We start from the raw sequence: 25,207 nt of genomic DNA, 5'->3' as shown, positions 1-25,207 counted from the left end.
AAGCAGCTGGGATTACAGGCGCCCGCCACCACACCCAACTAATTTTTGTATTTTTAGTAGAGATGGGGTTTCACCATGCTGGTCAGGTTGGTTTCGAACTCCTGACCTCAGGTGATCTGCCCACCTCAGTCTCCTAAAGTGCTAGGATTACAGGCATGAGCCACTGTGTCTGGGGCAATATGCTTTTAAATTGGTATCTTGAGACTTGGTAAAGTCAATCTTTCTTTAATCTGAGTAGGAGAAGTGATAAACTAAGGTCCCCAATAAAAAATACTCCATTTACTAAATATTATCAGGCCAATCTTTATCCGTCTTCATTAAGCAGAAAGTCTAGTGCTTAATGGCCAGGCCCAAATCCTCTGATGCTTATCAGTTGGGTTACTCTTGGATAAGTTACCTAATAGTTCTGTACCTCAGTTTCCCCATCTGTAAAATGAGGGAAAAACAGAATCTGCCACATAATGTTGTTGAAAGGGTTAAAAAATTAGGTATAAGGCACTTAAAACAGTTCTTGCCACAAGGACAGCACTCAAAAGATCTACTGGTCATTATGATTCAGTATCAAATATTTACTAATAAGACAAATTATATGGTAATTAAACAAAAAATCAGTTAAAGATCTTCCGAACATGGTCAAATCTACAATTATACCCCAAAATAACTGTAGGATTTAAAGAGAAAATTCTCTTTTCTACAAAGCAATTTAGGTTATTATTTTTGTTTTTTTTGAGACAGAGTCTCGCTCCGTCACCCAGGCCGGAATGCAGTGGCATGATCTCGGCTCATTGCAACCTCTGCTTCCTGGGTTCAAGTGATTCTCATGTTTCACCCTCCCGAGTAGCTGGGATTACAGGCACCCACCACCACACACGGTTCATTTTTGTATTTTTAGTAGAGACAGGGTTTTACCATGTTGACCAGGCTGGTCTCGAACTCCTGACCTCAGGTGATCCACCTGCTTCAGCATCCCAAAGCGCCGGGATTACAGGTGTGAGTCACCATGCCTGTCCCAATTTAGGTTATTGCATAAGAACAAAAACAACCCCTTAATTCTCCTCTATGCTAACCATCTCATTGAAACCCTTCAAGGGTGGTGCTAGCCAGGCTAGGCCAGACCTCAGAAGGGACTGGACCTCTTAGGGCCAACACTGAACTATCTACCTGAGCAGGGTGTGGGGAGAACAACCACTTTGCCTGCTGCTCCTTAGCCCAAACATACTGAGTGAGTGCCCACAGCTATCACCCAAAACTCAAAGGCAACTAGGGAATCAGAGGAACCCTAAAATAAACAACCTCTGTGGCAAAGGAAGATAACTTCCTCTCTATGAAACCCTTTGCCACATTCTTTTATGTTTTTCTTTTCTCAGCAGCAAAAACATTAAGTGAGAATTACACCTTACCCATAACTCTTTCCTCAGGTCTTCATTCTCAAATTGACTTAGCTGATTCAAAACATCCTCAATCAAGTGATTCCTTCTGACTGTTAGATCAAACGTGGGCCTCAAAGCGAATTCAGACTCTCTTTCTTCCTCAATTGCTGCCGACCTAAGATAAGCTTTATGTTTTTTACTCTAGGAAAACAGAAACAGAAATATTACACTTCATTTTACCATTGGCCCTCTCTAAGTAAAAATTTGGAAAGCAGAATAAACTGGTTCTGCTTATAAGTGCAGGTCACATTTATGAAAAGAACCTTATATGCACCACTGAAGATAAATGATAACATCAGTATTTAGTCTCAGTGAGCAGAGGAAACAAGGGACCTGAAGAATCAAAGCCTTTGTGGAGCCAAGCTGGATGAGCAAGTAAGTTACCAACTGCAGGTTTTAAAGGACCACTTTCTCCTATACACACAATTATTAATGCTTAAGATACCAAAGCTACTTATTAACAGGCTAAGAGATGTATTGGTATCCACTGAAACAGTGCACTGCAACATGATGCTCTCTCATTCCGAAGAGAAGTTCAGATGTTTAGAAAGCAAACAGGCTGCAGGAAAAAAAATCCAGGTTATGAGAGATGTCACCAAAGAGCCTACTCCAGGAAAAAAAAAACCAAGACAAGAGATTTTAAGGGAGAATTTACCTAAGAAGTTAATTGAAGAGAGACAAGCAGGGAGAGAGAGTGGGAGAGACAGACAGACAGACAGAATGTCCATTCTGAAACCAAATGGCAATTTTAGGTCATTAAAGTCTATGGTTCAGGGCCAGGCACGGTGGCTCACGCCTGTTAATCCCAGCAGTTTGGGAGGCTGAGGCGGGCGGATCACTTGAGGTCAGGAGTTTGAGACCAGCCTGGCCAACATGGTGAAACCCTGTCTCTGCTAAAAATACAAAAATTAGCTGGGTGTGGCGGCGGGCACCTGTAATCCCAGCTACTCGGGAGGCTGAGTCAGGAGAATCGCTTGAACCCAGGAAGTGGAGGTTGCAGTGAGCCAAGATCATGCCACTGCACTCCAGTCTGGGCAACAGAGGGAGACTCTCTCTCAAAAAAAAAAAAAAAGAAAAAAAAAGTCTATGCTTTTAGCAGAAAAAGGAGTAGTCAAATATTACTTCTACGAAATTATCTCTGGAACCTTGTTTAAAATCAGGAGAGAATAGGTTATAAGAGTTGAAGCAAAACAAAGTTCTTTTATCTTTTTATCTTTGATTTCCCTTTGTTAAATATTTCATTACAGTCATACTCAGAACTCATAAATCAATTTCCCATTTTTATTATGGTAAATGCATTATATGAAACTATCTGCTTTAAGGACATATATTTGAATATTATACATACATATAACATATGTCTGCATATGTAAAAGTGATAATAATACCCAACCCTTTGGGTGCTTTGTGTGAGGCAGTTTTAAATGCTTTACCTATATTAACAAATTTAATCATTATTAAATTGCAATGCGGCAGGGATTATCTGATACAATTCCTTGGGAATTTTCAATTGCCCAATTTTACTACTTTGGTGGTAAAATATTTTGTTAATGGTTGGTAAAATATCCATCCACTTTGCTGGATACATCTACAAACATAACCACCTCAGCTAGTAACAGTACCGTACATGGAAAAGGGAGGAATCTGTACAAACCTCTTTTATGGCACCATCACAGAGTAGTAGCCATTTATTGGGCTCCTAATTTCAGGAATCCTCAGCCACTTCTATTCCTGCTACCGTATCTTTTCATTAGATTGTGCCTCCTTACATAGGTGCTAGTCAAGCCCAAGTCTGTTACACCTAATCAAGCCCAAGTTTGTTATACCTCTTTGAGTACTATTCAGAAGACTACAGGCTGCCACTGCCAACTTCAGGTAAAAACCCGACAACTAGGCCAGTTGTCCAAGCTCCATCCCTTGCTACCAAGGCCCTAATTTGCCTTAAGGTGAAGATGATTCAAATTATGACAGTCTGCCTTGCCGTCTTCATTAGAGTATAAGCTCCTTGAATGCCACAACCATTGGTTTCACTGGTAGGTGGTTCTCTTATCACCCCCAAAATACTGCATGATTAAGAAGGCGCTTAGCATGTGATTTATGCTAATGAAGACAAATAGGCATACATACCTCTATTTTTAAAAGTGTGTCTGTATGTAGTAGTTTAATTTTCGACAGATTATTAAAGATAAATGGAAAGTGACTGAATATGACGCAGCATTGTACATTTTCTGAAGCGTCCTAAAAATGGAAATGACAATAATTCTGATAAGTTAAAGGACAGAGAAACCTTACACTTTACCTCATAGCCTTACATCCCTGATGGTTTAAGGTCTCAGTACTTCCAACAAAAGCAATCCAAATTACTGGTCCATAGTACCAGTAGTAGAAAATGTGTTTTATATGTATCAATGAAAGGTATATAAAGAGAATGTTTAGTGCCCATTTAATTTAGCAATTAATTATAAACTTTGGATGCTTTCCCAAAGAGTCTGTTCTGCTGAAACCTGAGTTTCTACCATGTGAATAAGCTCAGTTGCATTTGATAAACGGAGAATGATATAACATGGGTAGCTGGTTAGCTCATACATGAATTTTGCTGGGCAAGACTTGATGTGCTAGAAGGAGAATTATAACCTTCAGAGAAAGGGAGAAACACTTCGGGTCAACTGCTACCTTGGCAGCAGGAGCCCTTCAACTGTATTTTCAGAAAATAAAAAAGGAGTGCTTACACCCAAGACACTCTACCCACAGGGTCTTGGCTCTTGGCTCCTGATGAGTCTCACTGCCTTGTTATGACCACTTTAAGGGTATCAGAGCTCCACTAGTCCTTCTCTAATTACAGTATAGACAGATTTCTACCCTTTCCTTTTTGTGCATTTTTCATACTCCCATAGTCATCTCCCAAGGTGCCAATCACTTTTCTGCTGGAACTCTGACTGCAAAATTGCATAGATTTTGAGGAGTCTTAATGTTTCCCACAAGTCCTGCTATTTCTATTGTGCAATTTTGCAGAGGACAAGAAATGCCTGTATTAACTCACTGATTATCAATTTCCCCCTTTAAACATGCTATACCTACCACAGTCATTTTCCACAAGTACCTTCTGCATACTTCTACAAAAAAATTGAGACGGTGCAAGAGTTCGTCTACTTGGAAAATACTTTCAGGTAGTTGACATTTCACCTGGTTTACCTTAAATAAAATATGACTTGTGAAAAAGTTTTATATTTAAAGACAATTTTGCTTAATAGCTGTTAATTAGATTATCAGATTAAATTATAAATGAAACACTCTTATAATGACCAGAATAAAATTCTATCCAATTCCTCCACTGCCAGAGCCCCAAATTTTCATGAACATAAAGAATATCTAAGATTTAAGAGTAGAGATTGATGATGTAATGATAAACCTCTAGTTATTTTTAATTCATAGGAAATTTTTAAAGAACTTTCAATAGGAAGAAAAAAAAAAACAATGCAATATCCCAAAGTACTCTGGGGTCCAGTTCTTCATGTCTTAGTCTTTAGGACTTAATAATATACCACTTATAGACATTCACTCTGCTGAGGCATTTGTGGAACATTCCCCTACCGAGAGGAAATTTTCCAACCCTCCATCCCATATGATATGATCAGGGTTATTATGACAGACACATGAACACCCTGGCATGTCGTGAAGACAATGAATAATAATGACACTAGACACTTCAGACATTAGTGACTGTTAGTATTTGACTTGGATGGGCGTTATCCTGAAATAAATTACTCTCAGGTGGTCTTCTAAAAACTCATCTTGGCTATATGCACTGAAACCATGTGTCTAGAATGTTCTTATTGACTCTCGTCCAGGCCTCAAATATTCCAGGCCTCCCAGTACTACCACCCAAAGTCTGGTGAGACTGTTTCACCCTGTAACTATGGCCCTCTGGATCTGATGATCTTGGCCTTACATTTATCATTATTAGCCTTAAGATCTCCAGAGTCACAGAGAAAGTGGGTACTTCATCTTCATGGTTCCTGGTGGCCTCCTGCTGAGGTGGGGAGCCTGACAAATATAAAATATTCTGATATTATCTATTACGGTCAAAGGACAAAGCGGGATCCCCTGAAGATTTCTTTTGTTGCTGCTTCAGTATTTCTTGTGATTCTCCTTGTAAGTGGCAAAAGCTTGTTAGAATATACCTTCCCAGAGCTCTTCAATAAATTTCTCATTTTTTCAAAACACAAATTATTTTTCATTAACCTTTCCCTTTTGTAAAAAAAAAAAACCTTTAAAAATTGTTGAAAATAGCCATTGTTTTTCAATAGTATGGCAGATTTTTTTCTTCAGCAGTATGATATATTAGGTACCCTGATCCACTGAAAACACCTAGAAATACAGGAAAAGCTGTAACAAACATGTTTAAAGGCATTACTGATTTTTTAGGTAGATATGGAATAATCAGGTCAAAAACTTAAATGAAAGTGGCATTTGCCTTGAGAGCATCTGCCCAACCTGGTGAATGTAAACTTCAATTTTCAATGGTTGGGGCTTTGGGGAAAGGAGGCAAAGCCTAGACTGTTCAAATTAGGGAGTCCATAGGAGAAGTTATCCCCACAAGTCTGAGACCGAAAAGGGTTAAACCATCAGGTAAGGATGAACTAGAAATGAATAAGCTCTTTCCTCCACTGCCATATCAATCACTCCACCTCCACCTTGACCCCAGGACCACAAGGCAAACTGTTCCAAGTTCAAATGGTGCTGAGTTGGGGAAAAATTATCCCCTATAGGATCTGTAATTACAAAAGAGCTCTCCTTCAACTTTGCCACCAAATTCTAAAAAGCTTCAAGCCAAAAATGTAAAGTACTACCAAACTGGTGGTATCTCTAGGAGCCTGGCAGAAGAAAATTCTCTGCGAAGAAAGCCAGCCCTCAAGTAATTCCAAAAGATAAAGTTCCAAGGAAAACAGACAGCTCTCACACATACACAAATCACAACATACATGAGCATAAAGACATCAGGAGGAAGATTAGCAGAAACTGACCTGCAAAGACTTCAGATACCTGAGTTATAAGGCATATATATTCAGATAAATAAAAGGAAAATGTGAAAAGAATGAAGAAATTATAAATAATGAGCAAGAAACTAAATTTAAAGAACAAATTCGAGTATCTAGAAATGAAAAACATTACTACTTGAAATAAAAACTTAAAAGGTAGTATTAATAGCAACCAAAATATCTGAAAAGAGAATTCATGAACTGGAAGATAGGGCTGAAGAAATACCATCCAGAATGGGGTACAGAGAGACAATGAGACGGAAAATATGACAGAAAGCTTAAGGGACATGCCAAATAGACTGAAAAAGTCTAACATGTCAATAACTGGAATTTCAAAAAAGAGAGTCAATATTCATTTAGATTTAAAATGTGGAACAATTTCTAAAAGGAGGGAAATATCCTTAACCTACAAAGGTTATTTTCAAAAACCTAATAGAAGGCCAGGCGCAATGGCTCATGCCTGTAATCCCAGCACTTTGGGAGGCCAAGGTGGGAAAATCACTTGAGGTCAGGAGTTGGGAGACCAGCCTGGGCAATGTGGTGAAACCCCATCTCTACAAAAAACTCAAAAATTAGCCAAGTGGGGTGGCATGTGCCTATATTCCTGGCTACTCAGGAAGCTGAGGCACGACGATAGCTTGAACCCAGGAGGCAGAGGCTGCAGTAAGCCAAGATCGTGCCACTGCACTCCAGCCTGAGCAACAGGATGAGACTCTGTCTCAGGAAAAAAAAAAAAAAAAAAAAAAAAGCCTATAGAGCCGGTGTGGTGGCTTACCCGGGTAATCCTTGCACTTCGGGAGACCAAGGCCCAGGTGGAGAATCACTTGAGGCCAGGAGCTCAAGACCAGCCTGAGCAACATAGTTAGGCCCTGTCTCTCCAAAAATGAAACAATTAGCTGGGCATGGTGGTGTATGCCTATAGTCCCAGCTACTCAGGAGGCTGAGGTAGGAGAATCACTTGAGCCCAGGAGTTCAAGGCTGCAGTGAGCCATGACTGCACCACTGCACTCCAGCCTGGGCAGAGTGAGACTCCAACTCAAAACAACAACAACAACAGCAAACCCCTATAAGTAAATGATACTAAAAGCATTTCCTTTGGAAACTAAGAATAGTCCATGAAAAAAAATTTCCTTTAAAATCACAAATAAGTATCCACTGTTCCCCCACTTCTATTTAACATCATATTAGAAGCCCTACCTAGAGCAAGACAAAGGAAAATAATAAAACGTATATGGACTGGAAAAAGAAAACATAAATAATTCAAAAGAATCTATAAGTAAATACTAGATATAACATGAGAATTTGGCAAATTTGCTGAATATAAGAATCACTATTCAGGCCAGGTGCAGTGGCTCACACCTGTAATCCCAGCACTTTGGGAGGCAGAGCCAGGCAGATCACTTTAGGCCAGGAGTTCAAGACCAGCCTGGCCAACATGGTGAAACCTCGTCTCTACAAAAAATACAAAAATTAGCCAGGCATGGTGGTGCACGCCTGTAATCCCAGGTACTTGGGAATACAGCCCTAGGACCATGGTTCTTGCAGTGGCTCTCCTCCAGCCAAGCCTCTTCCCCCAGAATAAGGGGTCTGCAGGGCCAGGGGGACCTGTCTATTTTCAGCCCACACATCCCCTTCTAGATTGGGCTGCATATACCAAGGACCTGGGATTCCATGTTCAAATGGTTCCAAGCCTGCTTCTGGCACAGGCCTCTCCCCGTGCTTGGTCTCTAGAGAGTGAACTATGTCACAACTGAGATCCTCCAGTCTCAGGGTTGGCTACGGAGGGTCTGTGGTGGGAGATGGGATGGAATTCAGACATATGGGCTGAGGTGTCCACATACGGGCATGTGACACCCCTTCTGGTGTGGGGACAAAATCAAGGGAGGAAAAGAAGAGCAGAGGGCTGCATTTAAGCTACTACTTCTCTTTTCTTTTCTTTTCCCTTTTTTTTTTTTTTTGAGATGGAGTCTTGCTCTGTCACCCAGGCTGGAGTGCAGTGACGCAATCTTGGCTCACTACAACCTCTGCCTCCTGGATTCAAGCGACTCTCCTGCCTCAGCCTCCCAAGCAGCTGGGATTACAGGCATACGCCACCACACCCAGCTAACTTTTGTATTTTTAGTAGAGACGAGGTTTCACTATGTTGGTCAGGCTGGTCTTGAACTCCTAACCTTGTGATCTGCCCGCCTCAGCCTCCGAGCAAAGTGCTGGGATTACAGGAATGAGCCACCACACCCAGCAAGCCACCATTTTTCAATGTAGAATTTTAAGAAGACTGAGATTTCTAAATTCAAACCTGGCCCTCCCTGTCATTATGAAGGTTTATTTGTCAAAAGAGGAGGACAGTATATTTTATTTTAACAGTTTGTTAGATAGGTTTTTAACCTTTTTAGGCCTCCATTTGTACTCTTCCTCTGGCCTTGGCTATTGTCCTCTTAGAATACTATCTAGGGCAGTTTTGCAGACCTAATCTAGCCCTCTGTTATTTTTATAGTCTTATTGGAACATAGCCATGACCATTCATTTTTGTATTGCCTGTGGCTGCTTTCATGCTACTCCTGAACAACTGAATAGCTGCAGTTGTGACAGAAACCACATGCCTCATAAAGCCTAAAATATTTACTATCTGGTCCTTTCCAGAAAAAAGCTGCCGACCCCTGATTTAGGGTAATAATTTAAAACCTTTATGGGAGAAAAAAAGTTTAAAACAAGACACAAGGAGTAAAATTATATAAAGAAACGGACAGACAAATTTATCTACATTAAAATTAAGAATGTGAGTTTGTCAAAAAACACCATAAAAGCAAAAGACAAGCTATAACTGGGATAAAATATTTGCAACACATATCATTGACAAAGGAGTAGTATCCAAAATAGAAAGAATTCTTGTAAGCACTAAGAAAAAGTCAAATATTGGCCTGGCACAGTGGCTCATACCTGTAATACCAGGACTTTGGGAGACTGAGGTGGGTCAATCATTTGAGCTCAGGAGTTCGAGACCAGCCTGGGCTACATGGCGAAACCCCATCTCTACAAAAAATATAAAAATTAGCAAGGTTTGGTGGCTTGCACATGTAGTCCAAGCTACTTTGGAGGCTGAAGTGGGAGGATCACAGGAGCCTGGGAGGCAGAGGTTGCAGTGAGCCGAGACTGCGCCACTGCACTCCAGCCTGGATGACAGAGGGAGAACCTGTCTCGAATCAAAACCCTTTATGGGAGAAAAGAAGTTTAAAACAAGACACAAGGAGTAAAAAGAAATGGATTGACAAATTTATCTACAATAAAATTAAGAATGTGTTTGTCAAAAAATACCATAAAGCAAAAGACTAGGATACAGTATTTGCAACACATATCATTGACAAAAGAGTAGTGTCCAAAATAAAAGAATTCTATAATCAGTAAGAAAAAGTCAAACATCATTTAAATGAACAAAAGTCAAGGACAGGCATTTCACAGAAGGGGAAACAAATATTGCAATTACAAACATGAAAATATGCTCTAGTGCATTTGAACCAGGGAAATACAATTAAAACCATAATTTGGTATCATTTCCTATCAAAAATATTTTCAAAATGTTAAAGTCAGACATGGAGCAATGGGAATTCTCATCATCTGGAGAGAATTTAAATTGGTCCAACTGCTTTAGAAGTTTGTCACTACCAGTAAAGAACAACACACACATATCCGTAGCTTATCAATTCTAGAATTAGGTATGAAACCCAGAACCAATCCTTGATACAAGAAAACCAAGAGATATGAACAAAAATGTTTATAGCAGCATGTTTTCTCATAGAGGAACTCCCAACAAGACAAAAAAAAAAAACACACACAAGAATTGCAAACAGCATATATATCTGTCAATATTGGAATGGATAAGCTAAGTATGGTATATTCATACAATGAACTATACTGCAGAGTGAAAATGAATGAAATACAGCCATAAGCATTAATCTGGATGAATCTATAAAACATTGAGTGTAAGAAGCAGTATTCCATTCACATAAATTTTGAAAATAGCAAAATTAAACATCATAGTGTCTAGAAATACATACATATAGTTCTAAAATAGTAAGAGCAAGGGAATGATTATCCCGAAATCCAAGATCATGACTACCTCTGGGAGATGGAGGGGTTGCAACCCATGAGGGGTACACGGTATTTCTAAAGCACACAGGTTATTTCTTTTTTTTTTTTTTTTTTTGAGACGGAGTCTCGCTCTGTCGCCCAGGCTGGAGTGCAATGGCGCGATCTCTGCTCACTGCAAGCTCCGCCTCCCGGGTTCACGCCATTCTCCTGCCTCAGCCTCCCGAGTAGCTGGGACTACAGGCGCCCGCCACCACGCCCAGCTAATTTTCTGTATTTTTAATAGAGACGGGGTTTCACCATGTTAGTCATGATTGTCTCGATCTCCTGACCTCGTGATCCGCCCGCCTTGGCCTCCTAAAGTGCTAGGATGACAGGCGTGAGCCAACGCGCCCGGCCCAGCACACAGGTATTTCTAAAGTACTGGAAATGTTTTATTTTTTTAACATGGGTGGTAAGGACACTAATGTTTATTTTATTATTTTTCCTTGAATTCTAAATAGGTATTATATATATATTCCTTTATATGTATGATGTAATTTTAAAAAAAAATTAAAAAAATAGCAATATAAACTTCGTATGTCTCACACGAGTCTACTTAAAGATTCAAGCCAGCTGAAAGGAAGGGAATTTTTACAGCTAGATAAAAACACAGAGGTTTCTAAAGGAACTCTTACCCTGTGCAGCTTCTTCAACATTTCTAGGAGAGCTTGAACATTACCATTCTCCTCAGCACTTTCATCCCAGTAATCCAACTGGCATATGACGGCTGTTTTAAACATCTGGACCAGTTTGCTGAAAGTGGATTCTTGCAGAGTTGCCCAATACTCTTCTGAGGAACACAAGGAAAGCAAATTTTTTAAAAAATGAGTTTTATTGTGCTTTTTTTTTTTTTTTTTTGAGACAGAGTCTCACCCTGTTGCCCAGCCTGGAGTGCAGTGGCACGATCTCAGCTCACTACATCCTCTGCCTCCCAGGTTCAAGCAATTCTCCTGCCTCACCTTCCTGAGTGGCTGGAATTACAGGCGCCTACCACCATGCCCGGCTAATTTTTGTATTTTTATAGAGACAAGGTTTCACCATGTTGGCCAGGCTGGTCTTGAACTCCTGACCTCAGGTGATCCGCCCACCTTTGCCTCCCAAAGTGCTGGGATTGTAGGCATGAGCCACCTCACCAGCTTATTGGGTATATTTGAGGTCTACAAAATGTAATGGGATACATATAAATAGTAAAATTGTTACTATAGTGAAGCAAATTAACATTTTTTTGGTAGGCCAGGCATGGTGGCTCACACCTACAATCCCAGCACTTTGGGAGGCTGAGGCAGGTGGATTGTCTGAGCTCAGCAGTTCCAGGCCAGCCTGGGCAACATAGAGAAACTCGGTCTCTACCAGAACTACAAAAAATTAGCAGGGCGTGGTGGCACATGTCTGTGGCCCAGCTACTCGGGAGGCTGAGGTGGGAGAACCGCTTGAGACTGGGAGGTGGAGGCTGCAGTGAGCTGAGATTGTGCCAGAGCACTCCAACCTGGGTGACAGAGTAAGACCCCATCTCAAAAAAAAAAATATTTTTTTAAAGCAAAGACAGCTAACATCTACTTATTTAACAACAATAAAATCCCTAATACGATATGTTATTAACTACAGTCCTCCTGTTGTCTTATCTAGTAGATCTCTAAACTTGTTGATCCTACACATCTGCTTCTTTGTGTCCTTTGACCTACATCTCCACATTTCCTTTCCACCCCCATCCACTAGTAACCACTATTTTATTATCTATCTCTGCATATTTGACCTTCACAAGGAAGGTAAATATAATTATCACGTAATTTTACTTAGATTGTTGAAGGTAAAAAGTAGCCAAAATTTTTTGATACACATAACAAAATATTTTAGTATATATTATAATTACAAAAGCACACTTGTAATAAATTTTTCACTGAATAAATACAATTACTATTACAAGTTTAGAATTTAACTTTCTGGTTGCTTAAGCCCAGGAGTTCAAAGATTACAGTGAGCTACAATTGTACCACTGTACTCCAGCTAGGTGACAGTGAGGTCCTGTCTCTATTAAAAAATACTACTAATAATTTAACATCCTGGAAAAGTTCCTTTACAGTTAATACAACTACAAACTTGATGTAATTAATTTGTGAAAAAATATGAGCAAAATTAATCACATTCTTTGTGCAGATGAAATAGTATAATGTGTTAAAAATTAAATTAAAAATCGTTCGTGAATGCACAACTTTCTTTTTGTGCTTCCAGTCTGAGGTGTTTAACTCTTACAGAAAACATATTTCAGCATTTTAAAAAACAAAAACCATTTTAAAGTAGCTTTTCATCACTTATCATGTTATCCAGATTTAATAAAACATAAAGAATGGATTTCCTTGAGCTGAATATGCTATGTATGTCAAAAATCCCATTAAACTCTATTCATGCCCCTAGAACTTACTTGCGGTGTACTGGAAATACAGGGATAGGAAACGGTCAGACTATCTGGATGTGGGACAGTCTACAAGACAACTGACCAGAATTCATCCTTCCTTCCTCCTTCATTCCTTCCTTCCCTCCCTCCCTCCCTCCTCCTTCCCTTCCCATCCCCTCCCCTCCCTTCCCCTTCCCCTCCCCCACTTCCCCTTCCCCTCCCCCTCCCCCTTCCTTTCCGTTCCCTTCCCTTCACCTTCTCCTTCCCCTCCCCCTTCCTTTCCGTTCCCTTCCCTTCACCTTCCCCTCCCCGTCCCTTTCCCTTCCCTTCACCTTCCCCTTCCCCTCCCCTTTCCTTTCAGTTCCCTTCCCTTCACCTTCCCTTTCCCTTCCCCTCCCCTTCTCTTTCTCTCCCCCCTCCCCCTCCCTTCCCCTTCCCTCCCCTCCCCCTCCCCTCCCCCTTCCCCTTCCCTTCCCCTTCCCTCCCCTCCCCCTTCCTCCTCTCCCCTCCCCTCCCTTCCTTCCTTTCTTTTGATTGATTGTATTTTTAGTAGAGATGGGGTTTCACTATCTATCTATCTATCTATTGACTGATTATATTTTTAGTAGAGATGAAGTTTCACCATGTTGGCCAGGCTGGCCTCAAACTCCTGGCCTCAAATGAGATTCTTAAAAAAAAAAAAAAAAGCTATAAATACTTTTTACTTTTTTTGGGAAAAGAAGAGAAATTTGAATGACCTAGATATTGGATAATATTATAAAATTATGATTAATTTTCTTAGATATGATAATGATGCCAGGGTAATACAGGATTCCATGTTCTTTTTTTTTTGGGACGGAGTCTCACTCTGTCGCCCAGGCTGGAGTGCAATGGCGTGATCTTGGCTCAATGCAACCTCTGCCTCTCAGGTCAAGCGATTCTCCTGCCTCAGCCTCCCGAGTAGCTGGGATTACAGGCATGCACCACCAAGTCCAGTTAATTTTTGTATTTTTAGTAGAGTCAGGGTTTTGTCATGTTGGCCAGGCTAGTCTTGAACTCCTGACCTCAGGTGATCTGCCTGCCTCAGCCTCCCAAAGTGCTGAGATTACAGGCATGAGCCACCGTGCCCGGCCAGATTCCATGTTCTTAGATGAATGGTGAAATATTATGAGTGAAATCTCATGTCTTCAACTTATTTTCAAATAGTTCAGTAAAAATAAAATGTAATCTGTACATAAACAGAAAGCACAAATGACAACATACTTATTATTGCTGACTCTAATACCATAATTACAAAAGCACAATTGTAATAAACTTTTCAGTGAATAAATACAATTACTATTACAAGTTTAGAACTTAGCATCCTCATCACTTGAGCCCAGGGGTTTAAGATTACAGTGAGCTATGACTGTACCACTGCACTCCAGCAAGGTGTACCATTTATTGCATATGGTATACCATACTATTCTTTCAACTTCTCTGTGAAATTTTTCATAGTGAAAAGTTGGAAACTAAGGAAATCATGACAAAGCCATGTGTGTATCCAAGGAATCTAAAAAAGTATTAGAATAATCTATTTTAGATGACCATGGTAATTGTTATAGTACCTTTAGAGTATGCTAACAATACGAACTAAAAAAAAATGAATACATTTCTAAGTATCTTAGTTTTGCCATAACTTTACTAGACATGTCTTTCCACTGAGAAGACAGGTAAAGTATCTTCAAATGATCAAACTTACCCAGAACCAGTGAAGACTGGTCACTCATTTTACAAACAACCTTTGCAAATGGAACCACAAGGCTCTCCCAGTTGTTGGAAATATGCATCATAGGACATTCTGGGAGAAGGAAGAAAATTTCTAAAGCTTCTTGGGGTGGAGAATGAAATGGAAGTCTTTTGAGCAGATTATCTTTGAGGCAGGTGGTTATCTGTGGTCAGAAAGGAACAGGGAAAAGGGATTCAAAACTCAGTAGAAGCAGGGTGCAACTGATGGTAATAAAACAAGGTGTAGAGGCTGGAATGTCATTCTACTACTAAATGAGAATAATCATTGAGTTTTCTAAAACCCCTGTTTACATCCCTTCTCACCTAGCCTCCAAAATATTGGAGGTATTTGGGATATACAATTAGTATTCTCTCCATTCAATTATCAGGGTGCATGAAGGAGATCAAGCACACCTAACCAGTACTTTGGGAGGCCGAGGCAGGCAGATCACAAGGTCAGGAGATCGTGACCATCTTGACCAACATGGTGAAACCCTGTCTCTACTTAAAATATGAAAATTAGCTGGGCGTGACGGTGCGTGCCTGTAGTCCCAGCTCCTTGGGAGGCTGAGGCAGGAGAATCGCTTGAACCTGGGAGGCAGAGGTTGCAGTGAGCCGAGATTGTGTCACTGCACTCCAGGCACAGAGCAAGACTCCATCTCAAAAAAAAAAAAAAAAAAGAAAGAAAGAAAAAGAAAAAAACATGTGCAAGAATTACACTCAATGAACAATAGATTCAGAACTAATAAACAGCCTTCTCAGTCATAAGTACCATATTCTACCCTCTGGTTTACACTATCACACCGTGGGTTTCTTTTTTCAAGAGTAAAAATGCATCAGAACTCCAAAAAGCAGAAAAACAAAACAAAGCAAAAAAAAAAAAAAAAGACAAAATCCGAAAATTTCAAGAACAAAATTTAACATAATTCTCATTATCTTCCATAAGAGCAACTGTCTCTACCACAGACTCTAGTTTCTAGCCCCTCCAATTTCCTTATAGTTTCCCCAATTCAGAATGCAACTGTTTAGGAAAAAATGGAATGGAATTCTGAATTTTTGTTATGTGTGCTTAGATCACAGTAATCATTTGTTTAAAATCCCACTATGAAGATAAGCTAGTATTTATGGAATACTTATTACTTGTCAATTATTGTGCTAAGTGATGTACATATATTAATTAGGTCATTTAACCCTTATTATAGTTTCTCCCTAACACAGATGTTATTAATCCCATTTTACTGATGAGAAATCTGTGATTCAGAGAAATTAAGTAACTTGCTCAAGGTCACACAGCTAAGTGGGAATTTCTCTGGATCTTTCTGACTCCAAAGCCCAAATTCTTAATCATTATATTATGAGATAGTGGCTAAGTGATATCTGTAAATGTACGAATTGTTATAATTACCTATTTTTATATTAAAACATTATATTGGACTCCTACGATGAGATTCGGTCTTTGGAGTTACGTATACCTGACAACTCTATTTCAACATCTTATTAGTACACACGCATTCTACCTCCTTGCTCATCATCAGACACAACCTCAAGCCTCCTCACCTATTCCAAACCCTTAGAATTACTGTGATACCCTCGAGCCAGTCCTATTGTCTGACACACTGTGCTTTGGCATACGCTTTTCTAGCTGCCTCGAATATCCTTCCACGTGAGCACCTGGTAAGATCTTAATTCCTCTGGGCAACTTGTTTTGAGTAAAAAGAGCTAACCATTCACTGCCCTAATAATGACTCAATTCATCCAAAAATATTGCACACAGGCTACATTCTAAGCCAGGCACTAGCGAAGACAGTGAAGTGTAAAACACACCAGGTCTTTGCACTGATGTATGCATGTATGTATCTGTCTCCCTTACTACACCATGAGCTTCTAAAGCACAGGGAGTATGTCTCTTTTATTCTTCATCGAGTCATCATTACAGTGCCCAGCACACAGCAAGTATTCAAATGTTTGCTGAATAAATGAACACATGCCAAAGGTCTGAGAGTCCGTATCGCAGAACCTCAAGATAGAAAGAAACATTACAGGTCTTCTAATCCAATCATCTTATTCTGAAACAATGGAGGTCAAGGATGCCCTATGATTATTTCATTTACATACCATATGTTCTTTTTGTGGCACAATCAAGGTATAATTAGTAAACAGAAGGAGCCCTTAATGATGAACTGATCCAATCCCTTCCCTTCACAGACGCACAAAAGGGCTTCTATTTTTGGTAATCTTTCCATGGTTGTATTTAGTAGCAATGACTCAGAATCTTACAGAAAGAAAGTTAAACTGGCCCCCACAGGAGGATTTTAGAAAACAAAAGAAAATGAGCTCTAACAAATGTTGATGAAATAGTCCACTGAGTAGTTTCTGGGTTGTTGATACAGGCAGCACTAAGTGTTGTAGGGTCCCAATAAAGGTACATAATTAGGGAACCATTTCACCTCGGACCCCCAGTGGGGCTGTGGTTCTGCCAAAGTTAAGAGAACTGAACTTTCCATCTTTCCTTGAAAGAAAGGAGCGAATGAGAAAACTTGCAGCTGAAATAGAAAATGCTAGTTGTGGCAAACAGAGCAAGTGCGGGAGCTGAAAGGAGGAAGGGTGAGAGATCAAAGATTGAGAGGGAAAGAGAAGAGGGATATGAACACAGAGAGAGATTAAAAAATGGGGTGAGGCTAGAGGGAGGAAGGAGGGGAGGAGGGAAGGAGAGAGAAAGAAAGAAGGAACTACAGTGCGACCCAGAGAGAAAAAAATGGAGAGTAGAACAGAAAGTAGTATCCCCATATCAACCAGTAAAATAAAATAGGGAAATAATAAAAACTACATTAAGAAAAACTAAATTAATAAACGAAGCATGCAGTAAGCCGAGATCGCACCACTGGACTCCAGCCTGGGCAACAAAGCGAGACTCCGTTTCCAAAAAAATAAAAATAAAAATAAAGGAAGCATGTTTGGAGCACCTGCAAAAAGAAAACCTAAAGATAGCAGTAACAGTGCTGAAACAGGAAACAATCATCCCATAAGGAACAAGAACATTCTAGAATCTACAGAAAAGTAGAATGGAAAAAAAAAAAAAAAAAGAATCCAGGCAGTCCCTGGTGAGAGGGATATTCATATCAGAAAAAATGTTCTCATTTCTACATTTATGCTTTGCATATAAAATGTTCTTATTCTAGTGTACCAATCTCAACAAATCCTTAATCATCTTCCTAAAGCCCTGAGTTGAAAAACTTCCCTCTACGAATGTGTATGCATATATGTGTATGTGTGTTTGTGTACAGACACACTATTTAGAATATCTGTAACCTGTGTGACTACTATGCCAACTATTTCACCCTAAAAGGGCAAACTCCTAAATGTTATCTGAGTTTAACTTAATCTGAATATGCTACAAGGTCTCGGAGAATCCCTTAACACAAAACATTTCTTCTGAAATTTTGAGTTCTTTTAAGAAATATTCTGGTGTATTTTCTTTCTCCACATAACAATCTGAAGATACCATGTTAGTAATCCAGTCCTTTTGGGTTAACTCCTTGAAGATGTTTCTTGCTTTATTTAAGTCCAAATAAACAGGCATCATTTCTGTAGTTCTTCTGTAGAAGAAAGATAAATTAAGTATTTTGTTAGATTATCTCCCTAGATGCAAAGTTTCTTCTAGAGCTTGCCCCATTTCAACAAAATTACCTTTTTTCTCAAGTGTGTAACTATAATAAATTGTCTAAATCCAAATGCAATGTAGTAAACATGATTTTTTCTAAAATACCAAAAAATATCAAGGCTGCTTTAACTGTATATACCATAAGACTTTAACTCAGATGCTGTCTTATCTGTAATAGATTAAAAAAATTAATATTTCCCAGTTTAAAAAAAATAGCCACAGAGGGAGGCTGAGACAGGATAATCGCTTGAGCTTGAGAGATCAAGGCTGCAGTGAGTTGTGAACATGCCACTGTACTCCAGCCTGGGTGACAGAGCAAGATCCTGCCTCAGAAAAAGAAAGAAAGAAAAAAAGAAAAGAAAGAAGGAAGGGAAGGAGGGAGGGAGGGAGGGAGGAAAGAAGGGAGGGAAGAAGGGCGGGCCATAGAAAAAAGATAAAGGTTTTTCGAAGGAAGGAAGGAAGGAAGAAAGGACTGACCACAGGAAGGAAGGAAGGAAGACAGAAAAAAGATAAACATTTTTCCCATTTCTAAAAAATACATCCATTTCTTCCCGTTAAATGGACTGAAAAGTGGGAACCAAAAGAGAGGGCTTCTGACCAATAATTTCTTAGTACTTCAATATAAAGTTATTAATGAAATGTTTAAGTATCTTCTCATGGAAGACCTTCTAATGGAAGGTCATGCAGCCATTAAATTATGTTACCGGCTGGGTGCGGTAGCTCACACCTATAATCCCAACACCAGGAGGCTGAGGTGGGAGGACTGCTTGAGGCCAGGAGTTCAAGACCAGCCTGGGCAACATAGCAAAGCTGCTGTCTTTACAAAAGCTAAAAAATTAGCAGGAGGTGGTGGCACGTGCCTGTAGTCCCAGCTACGTGGAAGGCTAAGGTGGGAGTTTTGCTTGAGCCCAAGAGTTTGATGATGCTTGAGCCCAAGAACCAAGATGCTGTAACTCCAGCCTGGGTGATGGAGTGAGACCTTGTCTCAAAAAAAAAAAAATTACCAAAAAAGATAGAATAAAATGTAAAATGGGCAAATATTAGGTAGAAAACAATGTATAAACAATATGATCCAGCTGGGCATGGTGGCTTACACCTGAAATCCCAGCACTTGGGGAGGCCAAGGCTGGTAGATTGCCTGAGCTCAGGAGTTCGAGACCAGCCTGGCCAACATGGTAAAACTCTGGCTCTACAAAAAAATACAAAAATTAGCTGGGTGTAGTGCCATGTGTCTGAAGCCCCAGCTACTCAGGCTGAGGTGGGAGGACTGCTTGAGCCTAGGAGGCAGAGGTTACAATGAGCCAAGATCACAGAACTGCATTAAAGCATGGGCAACGACAGGGCAAGACCCTGTCTCAAAAAAAAAAAGAAAAAAACAAAGAACCAGTATGATCTCATTTTTTTTAAAAGAATACATTTGCATGAAAAAATATAATCATATACGTAAGTGCTAGCTATTACTCTTAAGTGATGGATTATGGAAGATTTTCACTTTCTTTTTATTGTGTGTATTTTTGACATTTTCTACAGCAAACATATATTTACTTTTGTTAAAAAAAATTTTTAAAAAGGGATGAACACACAGCTATTTTACTCTCCAATCATTTTTTTATCCTCTTTCACGGTACTCTTAATACAATTTAATACAATTAATTTATTACATATATTACCTTTTCCTTAAAAAACTTCCAGTTAGACAAGCAGGAGATGAAAATATCTCTTGGATTTCCCTATATTAGTAATAAGACACTGGTTAAACCAAATCACATGGTATACATACATACAGCCTCTTTCTTTACAGCATGAGACATGATAAATACCACATCTTATAACTATCCTTCCAACCTCTCCATTTGTCTCCTATCTGTATGCATATTACCTTGGCTTGGCTTCTAAAAGTCCATTCTGTTTGGTAAATCTCAAAATTTCAGTGGCAAACATGGGAAATAAAAAAGTTTATACATACTCAGAGAAGCCTCAAATAAAGAGGAAAGGCTTGATTTATGGTCAGAACTTTCTTGAACAAACAAAATACTCCCACCCCACCAACTATGCAAGTCCTATTTATTTCTATTCCACTGAAGTAGAAATAAATTACCAGAAATTAAATGGGGGAAGGAGTATGCTCAGTTTCATCTTAGAAGTAGTTGTACAGTTCTTAATTATTTATGCTCTGCAAATTATGATGCAACTATTTTGTGCAACTACTTTGTACAATCATTTTCCAGAATTAGAAAGCCATACCTAAAAATATTTCTAAAAGATGATGTTTGTAAGAATAGGTAGGAGTTCTGTAAACCTATAGGAGTTCTATGGTTTAGAGAAGAATGGTACAAATTGTTCAGCTAAGAATAACAGGTACACAAACTAATGGTTCCAGGATCAAATGGGACTGGGAAACACTATAGACTCTATTTTCTGGCCAGAGAGTCACAATATACATAAACAGAGGCCTGGAGAAGCCCTACAGTAAAGAAAGCTGTCCTCATGGCGCTTACATGCTAGTTGTGATGGGTTAGTTTTATATGTCAACTTGGCTAGGCCATGGTACCAAGATATTTGGTCAAATATTATTCTGGATGTTTCTATGAAAGTATTTTTTTAGATGAGATTAACATTTAAAATGGTAAACTGAGTAAAGCACTTGAACAAGTGAATAAAAAGAAAGGACCTTCCATAATGTGAGTGAGCCTCATCCAGTTGAAGGCCTTAAGAGAAAAGGCTGAGGTCACCCAAAGAAGAGGAAATTCTGCTTTTAGATTGCCTTCAGACTTGAGCTGCAACATCAACTCCTCCCCAAGTCTCCAGCCTGCTGGCCTGCCCTACAGATTTTGGACTTGCCAGCCCCTACAATCTCATAAGCCAATTCCTTAAAATAATCTCTCTCTCTCCCCTCCATAGATACATAGATGGACAGACAGACATGATAGAGATAAAGATAGAGACAGAAATACACACATATCCTATGAGTTTGTTTCTCTGGAAAACCCTGACTACAAAATCTCATATTGCTGTGCAGAACCAGTTTGGGAAATGATACTTGAGAGTGATATATAAGCAGAGAGTCAGACTGTGGGGTGTACCTTTTTGTGCTCTGCCACCGTTTAGTCTCCACATCAGCAATCCATCTCTTTACAGTCCCTTCATTCAGAGTAGGAATTGTCCTCTTCAGATTAACATATGAATTCTGTAAACAAACAGGAAAGTAAAATACAATAATTTAGACACATCAGAGATAGGCACCCAACTTTTAGGTACACTCTAGAGAGTAAAACTGACTTTTAAATATGTGTAATACAGCCCTGGGACAATCACAAAGTGATACTCAACAAATAAGTAATCAATCATTTGCCTGGTTGCCACTTTCTTGTCCAAGGGGGCTTAGACTGAAAGTAAATTTCTTTGAGGACTCAACACTCAGCACTTTATACAAATACAATCAAATTAAACTGAACATCAGACAGCCTTGAAGGGAAGGGAAGATCCTGAAAGAGCTGTGTGCAGAAGTGTGAGGAACTCGATTTCACTTGGTGAAGTAGGGCAGGGAAGTTATGGACTTTTTATTTGCAAGCCCATGAACCTTGGTGTCTTTCTTAGTACTGGCCTGCAAAGTCATTTTTAGAATCTGTCACTCTGTTGTTTGCAAGGATACTGACCAAACATCATTGGCAAGTAGCCCCCAAAAGGTAAGTATAGCCTATGGAAATCACACTGATTAGACATTCACCAGAGAAAAATCTGCTGATTTTTGTGGGAAAATACTGATGTAGTTTAGACAATAAAGGATCAGTAATGTCCAGCTATCCCCCAAAAAGTCAGCCTGGTAAACTGATGATTTTGGAATTCACCAAACTGGGATACTAGAACCCTTAGTTTTGCTTAAAATACCAGGTTATAGAACACCTGGAGATCTATTTTTACCTCTTTCTTTATCCAGAGCAAAATGCTTTGATTCCCTCCAGCAATCATTATTAACTCCTTTTCTGAGGTATGGCTTTCTGAAAGGATGCACAAAGAGTAAGAGTTTTAGAAAGTCATTTGGCACAAACATGCATGTTCAATTTAAATAACTTCAGATTCTTCTTAAACGTAGTCATCTTTTCTTCTTAATAGACAAAACTTAGTACATTTTCTGCCAATTAAGCAGCTGAAATACATATCCTTTGGAGTAAAGTCTAGTTGGCAAACATAGGTAATTCACAAGGTGGACATGTGACATCAGTTTAATATACATAATACAAATATTTATATATAAAATGCAAATATTTGATTAGCTAAATGTTATCAGTTTAATTCAACTCCCATTACTAAAAACCATGTTTTCAAGATTTAAGCAATGACTGCTGGCTATAAAGAATATAAGTACTTTAAGCCCATGTAACTGTTATAAGGAATCAAAGATAATACATGCTGCTTAAGGAAATAACTCTGTTCGTTTTCCTACAAGAAATGAGTAGATTTTGTTACTTGAGGTCACCACTAAGCTTTCAGAAACAAGTAACAGAAATGCTCCAAGGTGCTTCTACAATGGAGTGTTTCAGAGCTCAGACTCTGAGGTCATAAAGGGCACGGGTTCAACTCCAGACAAACCACTTACTGGCCATGATTAAGTGGCTAACCCTTTTCTCTCCAAGTCTCTTTATCCTCCAGTAAAAGAGGAGTGACAGAATACACCTCCCAGGAACTGTTACAAGGATTGGTGAGATAACACAAGTAAGTGCTGAGCACAGTTCAGTGCCAGGTATACGTTGATTGCTCATTATTCTGAGGGTTTTATATGACTGTGGATCAACTTAACCAGGGCAACCAGCCAATTACAAGAATTAGTAAACAACTAATTACAAGAATTAGTAAGTCTCTTGCAAACTGGAATGAGAGCTGCATATGCCTCTGAATCCATTGTCTATTTTATCATTTAAATTCACATTAATCCTAATCTGAAGGAGTAATATAGAATAATTATTTTGCCTCAGTAAATTAGACTGACTCTTGAATTGTTTACCAGTAAAAAATGAAACCAGTATTTAGAGAAACTCCCTTCATAGTCATATGTTGCTTTCTTTGCCACATTACCTAGTTAGAAAAATCATTTTCTCTAAAAAGATACTATGCCAAACCCTATGTTCCTATAGAATTTACCAAGTTTGAGTTCTTCACTTGATGATACTTTCACTGGAAGCGGCATCAGCTGGTCACGTGTTCCACCATTTCCCAGTTGTCCATCTTTTCCAGAACCAAAGGAAAAGACCTTTCCCAAATCAGAAACATAGGCAAGTGTGTGCCACCTATTAAATAAAAGCACATATGGTCAATTCTTAATTATCCACAATGATGAGAGTGTTTAGCAATACAGTAAATTGCCAAAACTATGTTACCCAGTGAGAGTGAAACTAAACATCTCTTAGAGGATGAAAATCATCTGGAAACCAAGAAATCAACATGTACCTGAAAAGACTTTGGAACCCAAAGGCCACTCAAGACCATGATGTCATACTTTGGCAAATGGTGTTCCCTTTGTTGAAACAAGCACCTCCCCTTGCCCTCTGCTCATTTTTCAACATCAGTTTGAGTCACCACCTCTTGGAAACCATCTCTGAGTCCCTTCACTTTCCATCCTGGAAGACTCAGTTGAGTTCCCACTTAATTTCTCAAAGACCTTTACCACACTGATTTTCCTATTGATTTGCTGGTTTGTATATTCCACTATACTGTTGTGTAGCAAGGAATCTGCCTTGCCCAGAGAGGTCTGGCTGGTGCCCTGTTCCTAGGAGGTAACCTCTAAACCCACAGAATTCCCCAAGTGATAGAGGAGAGTCTTTATTATTCATGGCAGGATCCTGGGAGAGCTCTCCTGGCCTGTGATGTAAATCAGACCTACAGGAGGGCAGTGCTGGAGATTAAGTTTAACTATCCGGGCAATGATTTAACCAATCATGCCTCAGCAATAAAACCCCTCAATTTAGGTGGGGTGTGGTGGCTCATGCCTGTAATCCCAGCACTTTGGGAGGCCAAGGCAGTAGGATACTTTGAACCCAGAAGTTTAAGACCAGCCTGGCCAATATAAGGAGACCCTATCTCTACAACAAATTTAAAAATTAGCTGGGCATGGTGGACCTGTGGTCCCAGCTACTCAGGAGGCTGAGGCAGGAGGATTGCTTGAGCCTGGGAGGTCAAGGCTGCAGTAAGCCATGATAGCACCACTGCAGTCCAGCCTGGGTGACAGAGTGAGACCTTGTCTCAAAAAAAAAAAAAAACCACCAAACCAAAAACAACTCTTGACTTGGTCTTGACTTGGGTGAACTCCTCTGACTAGATGGCAGATTATGTACATCCTGTACCCTGTCTCCAAAATAAAAAAACCAGAAAAAACAAAAACAACTCTCAACTTGGGTGAATTTCTCTGATTGGCTGGCAAATTCTGTATGTCCTGTCACATTATCAGGCCAGAAGAGATAACACCATCCACCTGCTCCAAGGGGAGGTGACAGCCACAAGCTCAGCATTTGCAGCCCTCCTATACCCTGCCCTTATGTGTCTTCCTTTGACTGGTACTAGTTTGTATCCTTTTCTTGTAATAAATGTGACTATGAGCATAATAGCTTTTAGTAAGTTCGTGAGTCTTTCCAGTGAATTGTCCTGTTAGTAGGGGTATTGCCCTGATGTGCATTAAGACAGATCTCCAACTTGCCTCCTTCTCTTGTAATACATGCTACTCAAAAGGACTGTATGTAATGAAGAATCCAAAGAGGTGATAAGACTGCTTTGGTTAAGAGATACCGAATGAGGTATAAATATTGAAGAGAACGCTTCTTTG

At 39.5% G+C, this 25,207-nt stretch overlaps 1 protein-coding gene and 1 long non-coding RNA gene across 4 annotated transcripts in view, besides 1 other annotated feature; one reads left to right on the top strand and one right to left on the bottom strand.

The window, feature by feature from the left end:
* Positions 1–25,207, bottom strand: part of HERC5 (HECT and RLD domain containing E3 ubiquitin protein ligase 5) — a 49,045-nt gene that overhangs the window by 15,427 nt on the left and 8,411 nt on the right. Inside the window, exons 7-16 of one of the 2 annotated variants that reach the window (NM_016323.4) lie at positions 23,533–23,678; positions 22,315–22,391; positions 21,477–21,580; positions 20,064–20,123; positions 18,235–18,328; positions 14,707–14,896; positions 11,230–11,384; positions 4,509–4,622; positions 3,558–3,668; positions 1,401–1,571 (exon numbers count right to left, since the gene is read on the bottom strand). In NM_016323.4, the coding sequence (NP_057407.2) occupies positions 1,401–1,571; positions 3,558–3,668; positions 4,509–4,622; positions 11,230–11,384; positions 14,707–14,896; positions 18,235–18,328; positions 20,064–20,123; positions 21,477–21,580; positions 22,315–22,391; positions 23,533–23,678 (1,222 nt within the window). The remainder of the gene's footprint in view (positions 1–1,400; positions 1,572–3,557; positions 3,669–4,508; positions 4,623–11,229; positions 11,385–14,706; positions 14,897–18,234; positions 18,329–20,063; positions 20,124–21,476; positions 21,581–22,314; positions 22,392–23,532; positions 23,679–25,207) is intronic. The other variant, XM_011532022.3, reaches the window with a different exon arrangement.
* Positions 8,608–8,772: a silencer, noted in NCBI's record as "fragment chr4:89403116-89403280 (GRCh37/hg19 assembly coordinates)". NCBI's record gives its function as "represses an EF-1alpha promoter that drives an FKBP-Casp9 reporter gene in an ReSE screen in K562 erythroleukemia cells {active_cell/tissue: K562}" and the evidence as "EXISTENCE:reporter gene assay evidence [ECO:0000049][PMID:32094911]".
* The window catches only part of LOC102723458 (uncharacterized), a 56,224-nt gene continuing 54,047 nt past the window's right edge, over positions 23,031–25,207 (top strand). The window contains exon 1 of one of the 2 annotated variants that reach the window (XR_938976.3): positions 23,031–23,106. This is a non-coding gene — a long non-coding RNA (uncharacterized LOC102723458). The remainder of the gene's footprint in view (positions 23,107–25,207) is intronic. The other variant, XR_938972.3, reaches the window with a different exon arrangement.

Source organism: Homo sapiens, chromosome 4 (assembly GCF_000001405.40).
Source record: "Homo sapiens chromosome 4, GRCh38.p14 Primary Assembly".
In the NCBI taxonomy this organism is placed as follows: Eukaryota; Metazoa; Chordata; class Mammalia; order Primates; family Hominidae; genus Homo; species Homo sapiens.
The sequence above is the reverse complement of the archived record's forward strand: the minus strand, read 5'-3'. Positions and strand labels throughout refer to the sequence as shown.